General features: G+C 47.0%; 1 protein-coding gene and 2 pseudogenes across 3 annotated transcripts in view; all 3 read left to right on the top strand.

Moving 5' to 3' along the window:
- Positions 1–1,500, top strand: part of PKD1P5 (polycystin 1, transient receptor potential channel interacting pseudogene 5) — a 27,494-nt pseudogene extending 25,994 nt beyond the window's left edge.
- PKD1P5-LOC105376752 (PKD1P5-LOC105376752 readthrough) overlaps positions 1–17,916 on the top strand; it is a 43,821-nt pseudogene extending 25,905 nt beyond the window's left edge. The window contains exons 31-38 of the transcript NR_146331.1: positions 952–1,189; positions 7,635–7,763; positions 11,387–11,486; positions 11,650–11,794; positions 14,744–14,851; positions 15,868–15,928; positions 16,038–16,073; positions 17,433–17,916. The product of NR_146331.1 is annotated as a PKD1P5-LOC105376752 readthrough (transcript). The remainder of the gene's footprint in view (positions 1–951; positions 1,190–7,634; positions 7,764–11,386; positions 11,487–11,649; positions 11,795–14,743; positions 14,852–15,867; positions 15,929–16,037; positions 16,074–17,432) is intronic.
- Positions 1–17,931, top strand: part of NPIPA9 (nuclear pore complex interacting protein family member A9) — an 18,750-nt gene extending 819 nt beyond the window's left edge. Inside the window, exons 2-10 of one of the 2 annotated variants that reach the window (NM_001405004.1) lie at positions 952–1,189; positions 3,167–3,298; positions 7,635–7,763; positions 11,387–11,486; positions 11,650–11,794; positions 14,744–14,851; positions 15,868–15,928; positions 16,038–16,073; positions 17,433–17,931. In NM_001405004.1, the coding sequence (NP_001391933.1) occupies positions 3,236–3,298; positions 7,635–7,763; positions 11,387–11,486; positions 11,650–11,794; positions 14,744–14,851; positions 15,868–15,928; positions 16,038–16,073; positions 17,433–17,900 (1,110 nt within the window). In that variant the 5' untranslated portion in view covers positions 952–1,189; positions 3,167–3,235 and the 3' untranslated portion in view covers positions 17,901–17,931. Of the gene's footprint in view, positions 1–951; positions 1,190–1,849; positions 3,299–7,634; positions 7,764–11,386; positions 11,487–11,649; positions 11,795–14,743; positions 14,852–15,867; positions 15,929–16,037; positions 16,074–17,432 lie in introns of those variants that run through there. The other variant, NM_001401710.1, reaches the window with a different exon arrangement.

The following is a 17,931-nucleotide window of genomic DNA, read 5'->3' as shown; positions in this document are numbered from 1 at the left end:
CCCAGGAGGCGGAGCTTGCAGTGAGCCGAGATTGCGCCACTGCACTCCATCCTGGGCAACGGAGCAAGACTCCGTCTCCAAAAAAAAAAAAAAAAAAAATCCCACAAAGAAAAGCCCAGGCTCAGAGCCTTCACGATAGAATTTTTCTAAGCAGTTAAGGAAGAATTAACACCAATCCTTCACAGACTCTTTCCAAGAATACAGCAGGTGGGAACTCTTCCCATTCATACGGAAACGGGAGGCCGCACCCCTTAGGAATGCACACGTGGGGTCCTCAAGAGGTTACATGCAAACTAACCCCAGCAGCACACAGAGAAGGCGCATAAGCCGCGACCAGGAGGGGTTGCTCCCGAGTCCGTGGCAGGAACCAGAGGCCACATGTGGCTGCTCGTATTTAAGTTAATTAAAATGGAACGATGGCCGGGTGTGGTGGCTCACACCTGTAATCCCAGCACTTTGGGAGGCGGAGGCGGGCAGATCACTTGAGGTCAGGAGTTCCAAGACCAGCCTGGCCAACACAGTGAAACCCCGTCTCTACTAAAAATACAAAAAATTAGCTGGGCATCGTGGCAGGCACCTGTAATCCCAGCTACTAAAGAGGCTGAGCCAGGACGGACAATCGCCTGAACGCGGGAGGTGGAGGTTGCAGTGAGCTGAGATTGCGCCAGTGCACTCCAGCCTGGGTGACAGAGCGAGACTCCATCTAAAAAAAAAAAAAATGAAATTTAAAACTCTGTTCCTTAGCTGCACCAGTCTGCTGTCAAGTGTTCAGTGGCACATGTCGCGAGGGGCTGCCATCACGGACGGTGCAGATGTCCCATATATCTAGCATTCTAGGACATTCTGTCAGATGGCACCGGGCTCTGTCCTGTCTGCTGAGGAGGTGGCTTCTCATCCCTGTCCTGAGCAGGTCTGAGCTGCCGCCCGCTGACCACTGCCCTTGTCCTGCAGGTGGCTGGGAGCCCGAGCCCCACACCTGCCGGGCAGCAGGTGCTGGACGTCGACAGCTGCCTGGACTCATCCGTGCTGGACAGCTCCTTCCTCACGTTCTCAGGCCTCCACGCTGAGGTGAGGGCTCTACTGGGGGTCCTGCCGCCTTGGCGCAGCTTGGACTCAAGACCCTGTGCACCTCTCAGCAGGCCTTTGCTGGACAGATGAAGAGTGACTTGTTTCTGGATGATTCTAAGAGGTGGGTTCCCTAGAGAAACCTCGAGCCCTGGTGCAGGTCACTGTGTCTGGAGTACCGGGGGTGTGCGGGCTGCGTGTCCTTGCTGGGTGTCTGTGGCTCCATGTGGTCACACCACCTGGGAGCAGGTTTGCTCGGAAGCCCAGGGTGTCCGTGCGTGACTGGACGGGGGTGGGCTGTGTGTGTGACACATCCCCTGGTACCTTGCTGACCCGCGCCACCTGCAGTCTGGTGTGCTGGCCCTCCAGCGAGGGAACGCCCAGTTGGCCGGACCTGCTCAGTGACCCGTCCATTGTGGGTAGCAATCTGCGGCATGACCCCCACTTACTGGGTCTCTCCTTTTACAACCAACACAACCGAAATCTAGGGCTTCTTCTTTTTTTTTTTTTTTTTTTTGAGACAGAGTCTCATTCCATTCTGTCACCCAGGCTGGAGTGCAATGGTACGATCTCGGCTCACTGCAACCTCCGCCTCCCAGGTTCAAGGGATTGTCCTGCCTCAGCCTCCTGAGTAGCTGGGATTACAGGCGTGTGCCACCATGCCTGGCTAATTTTTGTATTTTTGGTAGAGACGGGGTTTCAGCATGTTGGTGAGGCTGGTCTCGAACTCCTAACCTCGTGATCCGCCTGCCTCAGCCTCCCAAAGTGCTGGGATTACAGACGTGAGCCACCATGCCCAGCCAAATCTAGGGCTGGAACATGGCTGCAGCATATAAATAGAATTGAATTCCATAGTTTTGTTAACCCTGTTTTTTGTTTGTTTGTAGTTGTTGCTGTTTTTGAGACAGAGTCTCGCTCTGTCGCCTAGGCTGGAGTGCAGTGGTGCAATCTCGGCTCACTGCAGACTCTGCCTCCCGGGTTCAAACTGTTCTCCTGCCTCAGCCTCCCAAGTAGGTGGGACTACAGGCGCCCACCACCACACCCGGCTAATTTTTGTATTTTATTAGAGACAGGGTTTCACCATATTGGCCAGGCTGGTCTGGAACTCCTGACCTTGTGATCCGCCCACCTCGGCCTCCCAAAGTGCTGGGATTACAGGCGTGAGCCACCACCCCCAGCCCCTGTTTTGTTTTTGTTTTGCTTGCTTCTTAGGGTTGTTTTTCTATTTATGGTAAAGGCATTGGCTTTCCATTTGTAGCATCAATAGAATATTTCCTGTTTACAATAACCTTATGTCATAGTAAATGGTAAAGGGATTTAAAGCAGTGGTTTTCAGCTGCCAGAGGCCTGAGTTTGGGCACACTCTGTGTGATCGGGCAGAAGGCCTGTGGGAAGTTTAGCTGAGGACAGGGCCAGGAAAGGTGATGGACAGTGGGGGTCTGTCCTGGTCACCAGGCCCCTGGGTCCTGCCCACCTGCTTGGAGCTCCCCACCCATCACACATGATGCTGCCAAGCCCTCTGGGTATTGTGGGCAAATACCTTAGGAGAGAAGCTGATGAACTTTGTTTCTTGAAATGCACAGATTCCTTGGACGTCCCTGAGAGCTCAGTCATGAAAGTCAGCTTGGTTTTCTCCCCCTCATTTGGGTTCAGAATTTAAAGTCCACACACACGGGCAGTAAGATGATATAGATAAGGACATCATCACTCGGTTTCGGATGTTAAAATGTCTAGGTGGGTTAGGGGTGATTTGAGATCACACAACCTTGTGCCACAAAGAGGAATTCCCAGGCCAGAGGGAGACATTTTATTGCCATGTTATGATCTCATCATTGAGTTGAAAGGCAATCTTGTTTCATTTTGGATTCTTTCTTATGTTTATGTCTTATAAGGGCACTTTGAATTTCCAAGCAAATAATAATTTTGAATTAGCTTTTAATCATTGACTTCTAGCACAGTTTTATGATCAGAAACATGCTGTGTGATTTGATTGCTCTCAAATATATTGAGATTTGCTGGAACAAAATAAGTCAGGTTAATTTTTGTAAATGTACCATGCATGCTTAAAATGAATGTATGTACATTTGTTCCTGAGATACAGGTTGATGGACGGATGGCTACATGGATGTGATGGAGATGGTTTACTATCGGGACCTTCCGCATCCTGCTGATGTTTTGTTGCTTAGGATATGAATGGCTGAGCGGAGGCTGTAAAACCTGGCACTCTGCTTGGGTATGAGGTTCTTCCTGCCATCCTGCCATCATTTGTTTTTTATGTTTTGTCGCCAAAAGTGACCTTGAGGAACCCTGGGAGCTCAGGAAGGAAGGAGCACCCAGAAGCAGGGACAGGGAGCTGGTTGGGGAGGACCAGAAATCAGGTTTGTGAAGGTTCCAGAGAGGACCTGGCCTTGGGAGGAGCGTGGGGGACTGAGAAGGGGGAGGGGTCATTGGGATGATGCGGGCGCTACTTGGAATGTCCATTGTGAGGCACCACCGGGGTCATCAGGGATTGGTGGAGAGAGAGTCTAAAGCCCCAGGGTTGCTAAGGGAGGGCCCAGACCGAAGAAGGTTTGGTGGAAAGCAGAACCTTTGTCTCCTAATTGCTCCTAAGCCTCACGCTCCCTTGCCCCGCCTGTCCTGTTGCTTCCCTGATCTTCTCCGTGACCTGTAGCTAAACCTTCCACCAGCGCTTGAGAACTTAATTTGAACCGGATCCTTTCCCAGACCCCTTTCTTCTTCTCCTCCTCCTCCTCCCCAACAGCCCCCTTCTCCTCCTTTCCCTTCCCTTACTTCCCCCCTTCCCCTCCCCTTCCCCTCCCCCTCCCCTCCCCCTCCCCTCCCCCTCCCCAACTCAGATCGGGCCCGGTCCCCGTCCCCTTCCCTCCCCCCTGCCCTAAGCCACCTCCACCTCTGTCCTGGCTGCCTCAGGGCGCCCTGAAAGGACCAGGACATGCGGGTGCGGTGGCTGCTCTTTTGGCTCCTCTTTTGGCTCCTGCTGGGATTTATCAGCCATCAGTCCACCTGTGTGAGTAGATGGGTGCTGTGGCTGCTCTTTTGGCTCCTGCTGGGATTTATCAGCCATCAGTCCACCTGTGTGAGTAGACGCTGGACCCGCGGGGTTTCTTCCTTTTTACTGGGCTGTGTCACGCGGCATGAAATTACACAGCTCAGGCCTGTAATCCCAGCACTTTAGGGGGCTGAGGTGGGCAGATCACTTGAGTCCAGGAGTTGAAGACTAGCCAGGGCATCATAGCGAAACCCCATCTCTACAAAAAATTCCAAAAAAGATTAGTCGGGCCTGGTGGTGCGTACCTGTTATCCCAGTTACTGGAGAGGCTGAGGTGGGAGGATCGCTTGGGCCCAGGAGCTGGACGTTGCAGTGAGCCGAGATGGCCCCGCTGCACTCTTGTCTCTAACAAACAAAACGGACCAAAACAAAGTGAAATGTCATTTCATTTGTGTCATCTGGTTTGATGACTTTTTTTTTTTTTTTTTTTTTTTTTTAAGACAGAGTCTCATTCTGTCGCCCAGGCTGGAGTGCAGTGGCAAGATCTCGGCTCACTGCAACCTCCGCTTCCGGGGTTCAAGCAATGGTCCTGCCTCAGCCTCCTGAGCAGCTCAGATTACAACGCCTGGCTAATTTTTGTATTTTTAGTAGAGACTGGGTTTCACCGTGTTCGCCAGGATAGTCTCCATGTCTTGACCTCGTGATCTGCCTGCCTCGGCCTCCCAGTGCTGGGATTACAGGCGTGAGCCACCGCGCCTGGCCAAAATATATAACCTTAAGTGTAAGTTTACTAACTTTGGAAAGTACATACACCAGCATAAACCAACCCCCTTTCAAGATCTACATTATTTTATTTATTTATTTATTTTTTTGAGACAGTTTCTCCCTTGTTGCTGAGGCTGGAGTGCAATGGGGCAATATCAGCTCACCGCAACCTCTGCTTCCCAGGTTCGAGCGATTCTCCTGCCTCAGCCTCCCGAGTGGCTGGGATTACAGACATGTGCCACCACTCCCAGCTAATTTTGTATTTTTAGTAGAGATAGGGTTTCTCCATGTTGGTCAGGCTGGTTTTGAACTCCCGACCTCAGGTGATCCGCCTGCCTCGGCCTCCCAAAGTGTTGGGATTACAGGCATGAACCACCGTGCCCAGCCAAGATCTACACTATTATGTCACCCCAGAAAGTGAACTCTCACTCTTCCCAGCCAGTCTCTTTCTTATCATAGCTTAGCTTGCTTATTCTGGAATTTCGCGTATACAGATGCATGCCATGCCATAGGTACTCTTTTGTGTCTGCTTTATTCTGCTCAACACCATGTTTCTGAAATCATTACCATTGTTGTACGGTTCTCTAACTCCATCATTTCCATTTCAGACTCAGCATATGCTGAGTTCAACCTGTTGAAGGGCTATCTCTGTTTAATTCACCATCTTGAAAGAAACATTTAAAATTGAGATGTTTTCAAGAATATATAGTTAAATCCTGAGGAATCGATGTAGAAATGTTATCAGAAGCTGTCTGAACTTACTCAGGGGAAGTCTTCGTCTTCACTCACATAAGAGTCTAATGGAATTAATATCAACAATCTTAGAGAAATCCCACGCTATTCATGCCATTTTCATGATCTCCACCTTGGTAATTTTTTTTTTTTTTTTTTTTTGAGACAGAGTCTCGCTCTGTCACCCAGGCTGAAGTGCAGTGGTGCGATCTTGGCTCACTGCAACCTCTACCTCCCAGGTTCAAGTGATTCTTCTGCCTCAGCCTCCCAAGTAGCTGGAACTATAGGCGCGTGCCACCATGCCCTGCTAATTTTTTGTATTTTTAGTAGAGATGGGTTTCACCGTGTTAGCTAGGATGGTCTCAATCTCCTGATCTCGCGGTCCACCCACCTCGGCTTCCCAAAGTGCTGGGATTGCAGGCGTGAGCCACCACGCCCAGCCCACCTTGTTACTTTTTAAGAACTAAAATTCGATACTTATTTGTGAATGAAGTAATCTCTTCATTGTATTTTTTTTTTTTTTTACTTATGCTGAGCTTTAAATGACAAAGATTCATATAATCCAAGAGAGAAGTATTATTTAGAGGGATTCTTTTACCATGTGATATATAATAAATGCATCCAATGTTATACATCAATTTAAAAAACAAGTAAATAACTAAAGAAAAGATAACTACTGGCCAGGTGCAGTGGCTCACACATGTATTGCCAGCACTTTGGGAGGCCGAGGCAGGTGGATCATGAGGTCAGGAGTTGGAGACCAGCCTGGCCAAGATGGTGAAACCCTGTTTCTACTAAAAAGACAAAAATTAGCCGAGCGTGGTGGCAGGCGCCTGTAATCCCAGTTACTCAGTAGCTGAGGCAGGAGAATCGCTTGAACCCGGGAGGCGGAGGTTGCAGTGAGCTGAGATCATGCCACTGCAATCTAGCCTGGGTGACAGAGCAAGACTTTGTCTCAAAACAAAAATAAAAGATAAGATAATTACTTTATACTTAGCTTGTCTTACCCATGAGTGACGGGCTGCATGTGGCCCAGGACAGTTTTGAATGCAGTTCAACACAAATTTGTAAACTTTCTTAAAACATTAGGAGATTTTGGCCAGGTACAGTGGCTCATGCCTGTAATCCCAGCACTTTGGGAGGCTGAGGCGGGCAGATTACCTGAGGTCAGGAGTTCGAGACCACCCTGGCCAACATGGCAAAACCCCATCTCCACAAAAAATACAAAAATTTGCTGAGTGCACTGTCAGGCACCTGTACTCCCAGCTACTCAGGAGGCTGAGGCAGGAGAATCACTTGAACCTGAGAGGCAGAGGTTGCAGTGAGCCGAGAGCACACCACTGCACTCCAGCCTGGGTGACAGAGTGAGACCCCATCTCAAAAACAAACAACAAACAAAAACAAAAAAAATGGCCGGGCACGGTGGCTCACACCTGTAATCCCAGCACTTTGGGAGGCCGAGGCAGGCAGATCGCCTGTCAGGAGTTCAAGGCCAGACTGGCCAACATGGTGAAACCTCATCTCTACTAAAAATACAAAAATTAGTCGGGCATGGTGGCAGAGACCTGTAATCTCAGCTGCTCGGGAGGCTGAGGCAGGAGAATGGCTTGAGCCCAGGAGCTGGAGGTTGCAGTGAGCCGAGATTGCACCACTGCACTCCAGCCTGGGCGACTGAGTGGAGCGGAACTCTGTCTCAAAAAAAAAAAAAAAAATTTTTTTTTTTAGATCATCAGCTATTGTTAGTGTTAGTGTATGTTATGTGTGGCTCAAGACAACTTTGCTTCTTTTAATATAGGCAGGGAAGTCAAAAGATTGGATATCCCTGCTTTATACCAAGAAAGACAACACCCCACATTTGCAATGCCTAAAAACACTACCAGCCATCTGAAAAACATGAGACTTCTCTAACTTCTGTTCTTTTTTGTAGCAGTGGAATCCCACGGTGATATCTGAGGGATGTGGTTACCTTTTGGAGGAGGTTGACGGTTTCTAAGGATGATTCTTTCTGAGTGAAATATTGTCAGTGTCATTGACCTTTTCATTATTTCAACTATTATTATTCCAGGTTATCAATACTCTGGCTGACCATCGTCATCGTGGGACTGACTTTGGTGGAAGTCCTTGGTTACTTATCATTACTGTGTTTCTGAGAAGTTATAAATTTGCCATCTCCCTCTGCACAAGTTACCTTTGTGTGAGTATACTAACTTTCTGTAGAGGTATACTTGTAATCACAAATAAGAATAAATTATATGAAACAATTCACGTTTCTGGACTTCATTATGAATATGTGGTTTTACCCAAAAAATCAGGGAAATGATTTATTAGCATAAGAATTATGAAAATATCTGCCATTTACATTATGAAAATTAAATAGGTCGGTGTTTAATAGAATGTCAACAGAGCTTTTGGTCAAAAATAAGTTTTTTTAACCTTTGTGCTATTTGTCACAAATGGAGTATGAGATTTCGTCACTTAAATGGGAAAGTCTTTCTAAACTCTTCTGCTTTATAGTTCTATCGTATGGGTGGAAGGAAAGCTTCCAATCTCCTCTCTGAAGATTCACTGCAGAAATGAGCTGACAACAGACAGCTTAACAGGAAAAGAAAAACATAGAACAGGCATAAACATGGGAACCAGCTGAAAAATGAGACTGCTAGAAGGGCTGGATGGTTGATGCTTAAAGAGCACCCTCTTCTGAGGGTAGAGGGAGATAGATGGAGATGTAGGCCATTTAGAGGGGCAGCAAATGATTTTTAGGGGAAATGAAAGAGCCCAAGGAACAAACAGTTGGCCTGAGACAAAGTTCCTCTGAGGTCATAGGGACGAGGTGACAAACTGCCGGAAGGTGAAGGGCAGAACTGCACTGCGTCTCATGATGCAGAGAAAGCCCCAGAGAATCTCTTAGAACTGCCCTCCAAGAGAATCAATGAAAAGTGTGTCTGGGCAGGGTAATTTTGAATGACATCATTCAAAGTGCATGTTCCCACTTGCAACTGGAATGAGATCAGTATGTCAAAAGTCTATACTTGGTAAGAATTTGGCTGCTAAGTTGTGGCATAATTTGTCTTTTGAGCCTTTTATCCTTTGCGTAAGTTGAGCTCTACATTTTGTCTTGCCATTCATGACAATAAAAATGTGGTTGTGTGGGGGCTGAACCTCCTTCTGAACAATGATCCAAGATAAAAGTACTAAACCACAATGCTTTTTTATATTCAAGGGAAGAGGAAGTATGTTTCAGTTTTACCGCCTAGATAATTACACGTCATTTGGCACTGCCTTTCAAGATATGTAGAAAACAGAAAATATATGAGTTATGAAGATATCTAGGCACATTTAACATTCTCTATGCCACTTAGTCCTGAACAGAGAATTTTCGGTATAAATTGGAGGAAGCTTTTTTTTTTTTCTTTTCTCACCCCCAAGAGGAGTCTCCCTCTGTTGCCCAGGCTGGAGTATAATGGTGTGATCTCGGCTCACTGCAACCTCCACCTCCTGGCTTCAAGTGATTCCCCTGCCTCAGCCTCTCAAGTAGCTGGGATTACAGGTGCCCACCACCATGCCCAGCTAATTTGTGTATTTTTAGTAGAGTCGGGGTTTTACCATGTTGGCCAGGCTAGTCTCAAAACCCGACCTCAAATGATCCACCCGCCTCAGCCTCCCAAAGTGCTGGGATTACAAGCGTGAGTCACCACGTGAGCCAGGGGAAGTTTTTAAATTTACCACTTTTTAACAATTCCATTTAGGAAAGTTCAGTTGAGCTGTTGGACTTGGACAACTTTGCACCTCTCATCTTTGTCCTTGTCATCTAGTCATCTATACCATTACCTCCTAAGCAGGGACATCATGGGTGCCATGAAGCATTCATGTGTGATGGCATTTCTTTGCTTCTCATTTCTTCATGTGTTTGACATTTCTCCTAGCTCCAAACTGGGCCAGCTACCTTTCCTATGAAATCTAGCAGTAGCTGTGGGATAGACGTGGTTGCTCTTTTCATCTTTTTAGATTACCCATTGCTTCTCTTGAAATCCTAGTACATGATTTTTTTTTAATCCTATGTGCAGAAATCAGGAAAAAACAAGTTCTACAAAGAATTTGAAAGATATTATTTCAGGCCAGGTGTGGTGGCTCATGCCTGTAATCCCAGCACTTTGGGAGGCTGAGGCAGGTGGATCACTTGAGGTCAGGAGTTCAAGACCAGATGGGCCAACATAGTGAAACCCCATCTCTACTAAAAAGACAAAAATTAGCCAGGCATGGTAGCAGGCACCTGTAATCCCAGCTACTTGGGAGGCCGAGGCACAAGAATCGCTTGAATCTGGGAGGTGGAGGTTGCCGTGAGCCAAGGTAGTGCCACTGCACTTCAGCATGGTTGAGTGACACTCCGTCTCAAGAAAAAAGTCATTTCAATGACTACCTCAGGAGATTCATAGGTATCTGACCCACATCTGAGATGGGATTTGCATTGCATTTTAGCTATGATGAGAACAAATATTTAATATCTTCGAAGATTAAAAGCATACTGTGATAATATGGAAATCTTGGTGGGAATTCAGTCATTAGTGAGAATGTTTTGCGTTAAGTTCAAACCAGCCTCAACGAAGCTGATGTGAGGGAAGGGAAAGTGAACTCTGAGTAGAGCAGGGACAGAAGAAAGATGCTCCAGTGCAGATCAGGAAGGAGCAGGGGGTGAAATGTTACAAATTCTAGAACTCAGAGAGCTGAAGGTAATTAATTACTTCCTTTTCAAGTTGTGAAACATGTTAACCTGTGGTAAAATACTTACAAGATGATAATTACCATCTAACCGTGTTGAAGTGTACAGTTCAGTTGTGTGAAGTATATTCATGTCATTTTTTTTTTTTTTTTTTTTTGAGACAGAGTCTCACTCTGTCACCAGGCTGGAGTGCAGTGGTGGGATCTTGGCTCACTGCACCCTCTGCCTCCTGGGTTCAAGCAGTTCTCCTGCCTCAGCCTCCCGAGTAGCTGGGACTACAGGCGTGGGCCACCATGCTCAGCTAATTTTTGTATTTTTAGTAGAGACGGGGTTTCACCATGTTGCCCAGGATGATCTCCATCTCTTGACCTTGTGATTCACCCGCCTCGGCCTCCCAAAGTGCTGGGATTACAGGCGTGAGCTACCGCACCTGGCCTATATTTTTTTTTTTTTTTTTTTTGAGACAGAGTTTGAATTTTGTTGCCCATGTTGGAGTGCAATGGCACAATCTCAGCTCAACACAACCTTTTCCTGCTGGGTTCAAGTGATTCTCCTGCCTCAGCCTCCCGACTAGCTGGGATTACAGGCATGCACCACCATGCCTGGCTAATTTTGTATTTTTAGCAGAGACAGCGTTTCTCCATGTTGGTGAGGCTGGTCTCAAACTCCCGACCTCAGGTTATCCGCCTGCCTCGGCCTCCCAAAGTGCTGGGATTACAGGAGTGAGCCACCATGCCAGCCTCATGTCATTCTTGTGTGTTGTGTTGTGTGTGTGTGTGTGTGTGTGTGTGTGTGTGACAGAGTCTCATTCTGTCACTCAGGCTGGAGTGCAGTGGTGTGATCTCGGCTCACTGCAACCTCCACCTCCCAGCTTCAAACGGTTCTCTGCCTCAGCCTCCCGAGTAGCTCGGATTACAGGCGCCCACTGCCATGCCCGGCTAATTTTTGTATTTTTAGTAGAGATGGGGTTTCACCATCTTGGCCAGGCTGGTCTTGAACTCCTGACCCCGTGATCCACCCTGCCTCGGCCTCCCAAAGTACTGGGATTATACGCATGAGCCACCGTGCCCAGCCGTCATTCTTATATTATTATTTCCTAGGTGTCTTTCCTGAAGACTATCTTCCCGTCTCAAAATGGACATGATGGATCCACGGATGTACAGCAGAGAGCCAGGAGGTCCAACTGCCGTAGACAGGAAGGTATGGCTCTGTTGGAGTCCCCATAGTGTGGAAATGAGTTTGCCCTGGAAAGGGAAAGAACAGCTTCTTGCCCTCAGGTTTCTCACCTTCTCCTCTCCTCACTCTCACCAAGGGCTGAGGTCCGTTTGTATGCACACAAAGAAAAGAGTTTCTTCCTTTCCAGGAATTAAAATTGTCCTGGAAGACATCTTTACTTTATGGAGACAGGTGGAAACCAAAGTTCGAGCTAAAATCCGTAAGATGAAGGTGACAACAAAAGTCAACCGTCATGACAAAATCAATGGAAAGAGGAAGACCGCCAAAGAACAGTAAGATGTGCCTTGACACAAATACTGTTGTATGAACCATGTGCCAATCAAAGTAGACAACTGTAAAGTCCTTGAGAATATTTTCTACAATATTTGTGGCAAATTCAGTGGGTTCAAAATTGAGCTTGTCCTTTCTGCTTCATTAGTTTAAGCTGTATAATTCCTTTCCCTTCCTACATTCTTGTTTGTCATTTTTTCAGGGGAAGAGGAGTTGCTAGTACTGGCATTGGTTTTCCTTTCTCTCTCTCTTTTTTTTTTTTTTTCCTGAAATGGAGCTTTGCTCTTGTTGCCCAGGCCGTAGTGCAATGGCACAATCTCAGCTCACTGCCTTTTGGGTTCAAGCAATTCTCCTGCCTCAGCCTCCCAAGTAGCTGGGATTACAGGTGCCCACCACCACGCCCAGCTAATTTTTGTATTTTTACTAGAGATGGGGTTTCACCATGTTGTCCAGACTGGTCTCGAACTTCTGACCTCAGGTAATCCACCCGCCTCAGCCTCCCAAAGTGCTGGGATTAGAGGTGTGAGCCACCACACCCAGGCTTTTTTTTTTTTTTTTTAATTTTGAGATAGAGTCTCGCTCTGTCGCCCAGGCTGGAGTGCTATGGTGCAATCTTGGCTCACTGCAACCTCTGCCTCCCAGTTTGAAGCAATTCTGCCTTGGCTTCCCGAGTAGCTTGGATTACAGGTGTGTGCCACCACATTCGGCCAATTTTTTTTTTTTTTTTTTTTTTTGAGACAGAGTCTCACTCTGTCACCCAGGCTAGAGTGCAGTGGCATGATCTTGGCTCACTGCAACCTCCGCCTCCCAGGTTCAAACGATTCTTATCCCTCAGCCTCTTGAGTAGCTGGGACTACAGGCATATGCCACCATGCCCAGATAATTTTTGTATTTTTAGTAGAGGCAGGGTTTCACCATATTGGCCAAGCTGGTCTAGAACTCCTGACATCATGATCCGCACAACTCGGCCTCCCAATGTGCTGGGATTACAGGCGTGAGCCACCGTGCCCAGCCCAATTTTTGTATTTTTAGTAGAGACGGGTTCACCATGTTGGCCAGGCTAGTCTTGAACTCCTGACCTCAGGTGATCTGCCTACCTCAGCCTCCCAGTGTGAGCCACCGCACCCAGCCTGGATTGTTGAATTCAATGCTTGGGTCACCTCCAAATTCATTTTCACAGTCTTTCATGTTTTGGTCATACTACATTGTATTTTGCTGCCATATGACTGATCTTTTTTTGTTAAATGTGAGATACTTTTTAAAAAATATTTAACAATGCATTGAGGCCTAGTAGCATGTTATCTTGCTGCAGAAGAGATGGGAGTCTACTTCTGGGGGATGGTCAGGGGTCCTCCGTACAGGCTGCAATTGAGGTCGTCTCTGCAGGCTCAGTCCCTACAAAGGCCAGGGTATTTCCTGTCCACCTCTATTCTGATGCATGACTCTTCTGGGTCTCAACCAGAGCCAGTGGACTTCAGTATGGATCGCTTTCATTGGCAGACCCTCAATCCACTTGTTTTCCATCTAACCCCACGCATGTGTGCAAAAGCTGCTGTGCTTCTTTGCATCTCAGTAGTTCCTTCTGGAATTCAGCAATGAAACTCAGGGAAATGGGTTCCAAATGCGAGGCTGACTTTCGTCCTGGGTTTCCTTCTTCTCCATCTTCACCTCATGTCTGTTTACTGCCATGTTAGCAATTTGATGTATTCAATCATGGGTTTTATATTCTGTTTGGTGTCCCCCATTGTTCTCATCGGAGATCAGAAGCTTCAGATGCACTTATGTCAACTCAAGAGTAGAATGCTTCCTTAGCTTCCCTCCAGAGTCAGGTTTTGTGTTTCTAGTTCCCAAGTGCACAGCAGGAGTAGTGCTGTCCTCACTGGCTTCTCATTTGCATTAAACTGTGAGCTTCTTTAGCGTGGGGACAGGACCCTGCTCCCATTGCATTGTCAGCACCTCACCACACACACCTTGTTTGAGGCCACTCCAGACAGCATGTGCTGAAGGATGCCCTGTGGTCAGAAACAAGTTCATTAACTTTCTCTTTGAAGTGATTTCGTCCCTGTTTCCTAGCGTTCTGGGAATTTTACACATCCTTCCTATAAAACCAAGTATCAGGTGAGATCCTTAGGATCAGGACCATGAATCAAGTGGTGTGAGGGCAACACAGCAAACTTACCCTTTTGAGGCCGTTTCCTTTTTCTGCCCTCAATCTCTGTGAACTGAACCTTGTTAAAGTCAGTCAACACCAGGGTGGATGGTTTGCCGTTGTCACCTATTTTCAGGACATAACATCCTGACTTAGGAGCCATTCCGATCATTTCTAATTCAATAGATGCGCCCAGCATTCAGATTGCCTTTTCAGGATCTTTAAAGTCGATGACAAGAGTTCCAGTCCTGAATCATGGCAAAGTGCAGTAGTGAACTGCGGGGTTAATGACACCATATTCTGGAAGGATCTCTCTATGGCTGATGGTCTCAGTTCCGGCATCAGCCTCTGACTGAGAATCAGGTCTCACACAGGAGGAGTCAGATGAGGAGCAATCCTCTGCTTCCGATGGAGTTAGTTGTGATGAATTGGTGAGGTCTGGTTTTTCACACTGAACTAAAATGAGCTTTCGCTGTGTCAAGCACAAGACTGACCCCAGAGACGCACATAGTGCACCTCATAGAAGCTTTTAATAGTCTTTATATTTACTAAAGAATAGGACTAACTATGGAACTATGAAGATGAGCTGGAAATGACAGGTGACTTGCCAGCAGGCCAGAGTGTGATTTTTTTTTGTCCCTCAATGGGAGGTGTCCATTCTTCCTTCGGTTGTGAGAATCAGTTGGTTCATTTGTGGGAAGGTTGCAGGGGGGATCTTTGAATCAGCCTTCAGATGCCAGAAGGGCAGAGGGAATCCCACACGTGCTGGTGGATCATGTGTGTGCATTTCTCTCCCTTCTAGTCTGAGGAAACTAAGCATGAAAGAACGTGAGCACGGAGAAAAGGAGAGGCAGGTGTCAGAGGCAGAGGAAAATGGGAAATTGGATATGAAAGAAATACACACCTACATGTGAGTTCAGAAACTGAACCCCACCCTCTTGGGAAACGCCCATTGGAGTGTTGTTTTTAACCTTTGTACAATGTTTAGACCCAGTAAATGCAGAAATAGAAACAAATGGTCAGAAGACATATCGTGAGAGAGAGAGAGTTCACAAAACAGAAAACAAAGTACCTTAATATTTACCAGTGACCAAAAGATGTGAAGTAGCAAAACGGCTCCTGACCCCATTGCCAGCTAGACTGTGTGGAAACTCGGTTCATACCAGCCATTCTAGGGGTGGGGTGAGTTGTTGTCATCCTTAGGAAAGTGTGTTGTTGTAGGATCAACCACATCCTTCAAAAGGACTATGCCTGTTTATAAGCCCAGCTGTTTCTGCCCTGTGAAACACGGTAAAGATATTAATACAAAGAGAATACAGCTTTATGATAAAAGATGCTCAATGAAGGATGAATTAGGGATATACTGAGAATGGGGAAGGAAACTATCATCTCAGAAGTCAGCAGGCAGTAAGCAAGAGGAGGAATCAATATAGCAACAGTTTGGATCAGACTGTACAGTTTTTTTTGTTTTTGTTTTTGTTTTTGTTTTTCTGAGATGGAGTCTCGCTGTGTCACCCAGGCTGGAGTGCAATGACGTGATCTTGGCTCACTGCAACCTCCGCCTCCCAGGTTCAAGTGATTCCCCTGCCTCAGCCTCCCGAGTAGCTGGGATTACAGGCGCCTGCCACCACCCCCGCCTAATTTTTTGTATTTTTAGTAGAGACGGGGTTTCACCGTATTAGCCAGGATGGTCTCAATCTCCTGACCTCGTGATCCATCCGCCTCGCCCTCCCAGAGTGCTGGGATTACAGGCGTCAGCCACCGTGACCGGCTCAGACTGTACTCTTCTAGCCATCTGAAATACGTTTTCTAGGTAGAGATAGATTGTGTAAGGGTACAGTTGTGAGGATAACAGAAACATGGCAGATTATTTAAAATCATCCTGAAAGTGGTGCTTTATCTGATGAAAGTGATTGTAATCCATAGGGAAATGTTTCAACGTGCGCAAGCGTTGCGGCGGCGGGCAGAGGACTACTACAGATGCAAAGTAAGGAGCTTCCTCCCCGCAGTTGCAGGATAGTTCAGTGCTGATGCAGATGATGCCACGGCCCTTAGACTCTCTCAACATTCAATTTCTCATGTGTTGGCTTTTTCAGATCACCCCTTCTGCAAGAAAGCCTCTTTGCAACCGGGTAAGTTTGCTTGTTTTCCTTGCTTTTGGACATAGTCTGCCAGGTCAGGACATGGATACATTTTTCTCCCTACGGCTCTGTGCTCAAGCCCTGCAGAGGGAGATGGCAGAGAGGAAGGCTGCCTACAAGCATCACAGTCCCATCCCTGTTGGTAACTGTGTTGCGCAAAAACACCTTCATCCCCACCCAGTGGGGCCCCCATCTAATATTCTAAGTGTCAGAGGTTCCGTATTTGTAATAGCAAATGGGCCCTGACTGTAAATTAGTGAAGAGTGAATGTAACTTATTACCCACAGGGACAATTCCAAATGAGGGCCTTAAATGATGCTCAGCTAAGCTGGTTCTTGTGTGGCCTCTGTACCTTCAAAAGCTGCCGAGTCCTATGATTACACGCGATGGGACTTGTACACTTGAAGTGAAACACAGTTTTAAAACTTGCTTTGTTTAGAATTCCCACCTCATTTTTCCATGGACAAAAGTATTCTTTATGTCCTAGTGCACTTACAATTTGGTATTACCTGGGAGTGAAAAGAAATATTACAGCCATGCCTAACTGACTTCTTGAGGTAAGATTGTTCTGTCAGAAAACCCTCTCCCAGTTCCCCTGCAGCTCTTCAGGAATCCACATCTCTCCAGAGCTCTTTGTTCTCATGGGTGGCACCTCCAGAGTGAAGAAGATCCTTTGTCAAGAAGGGAAACAGAGGGGAAATGAGAGGGTCCTGCAGGCAGAGCTGGAATCAACTTCCACTCTGCCTCTTGCAAGCTGTGTGACCCTGGGCACAATTTCTCCTTCCTCTGGAAACCTCTGTTTTCTTAGATTTGGAGCAGGGTGGTCACACTGACCTTGCAGAGTTCTGAGAATCAGAGACAGAACATAAAAGGCCTGGAAAACATTCTCCAAAAAGAAGCTGCAACATGTGTGGACAATGGGCTTTTCATGCCTCTCTTACTGTCTCTTACTGTCTATTGACCTGGTGCAAGAAACATGCTCTGGTGATGGCTGTGAGGGAGGAATGAGGATAGACATAGACACTCCTGTGTCTCAAACATGCTTCTTTATTACTCTGTTATGACTCTGTCTTCCCTGGGGCAGGACCCCAGCCTGCCTACATTTGCAGACAGACACAGTGGCATGTGGAGACAACAGTGTGTCCCAATGACTTTTCTTTACCCCCTAGCTGTCGGCAGTACTCAGTGGAAGGGTGATATTATGACACTGACACTGCTATTTTGAAACCTGGAGGATGGAAAGGTGCAAAAATCTATCACCAGCAACAGAAGGTGCAGACTGTGTTGGTGGCGGTAATTTTGTCCATCAAATGAATATGTGTGAAAACATTCCCTCCTTTGGCCCTACAGGTCAGAATGGCGGCAGTGGAGCATCGTCATTCTTCAGGATTGCCCTACTGGCCCTACCTCACAGCTGAAACTTTAAAAAACAGGATGGGCCACCAGCCACCTCCTCCAACTCAACAACATTCTATAATTGATAACTCCCTGAGCCTCAAGACACCTTCCGAGTGTGTGCTCTATCCCCTTCCACCCTCAGCGGATGATAATCTCAAGACACCTCCCGAGTGTCTGCTCACTCCCCTTCCACCCTCAGCTCTACCCTCAGCGGATGATAATCTCAAGACACCTGCCGAGTGCCTGCTCTATCCCCTTCCACCCTCAGCGGATGATAATCTCAAGACACCTCCCGAGTGTCTGCTCACTCCCCTTCCACCCTCAGCTCCACCCTCAGCGGATGATAATCTCAAGACACCTCCTGAGTGTGTCTGCTCACTCCCCTTCCACCCTCAGCGGATGATAATCTCAAGAAACTAAGGAAGAATAAATAAATAATATAAAAATAAAA

This window comes from Homo sapiens, chromosome 16 (genome assembly GCF_000001405.40).
Source record: "Homo sapiens chromosome 16, GRCh38.p14 Primary Assembly".
In the NCBI taxonomy this organism is placed as follows: domain Eukaryota; kingdom Metazoa; phylum Chordata; class Mammalia; order Primates; family Hominidae; genus Homo; species Homo sapiens.
The sequence above is the reverse complement of the archived record's forward strand: the minus strand, read 5'-3'. Positions and strand labels throughout refer to the sequence as shown.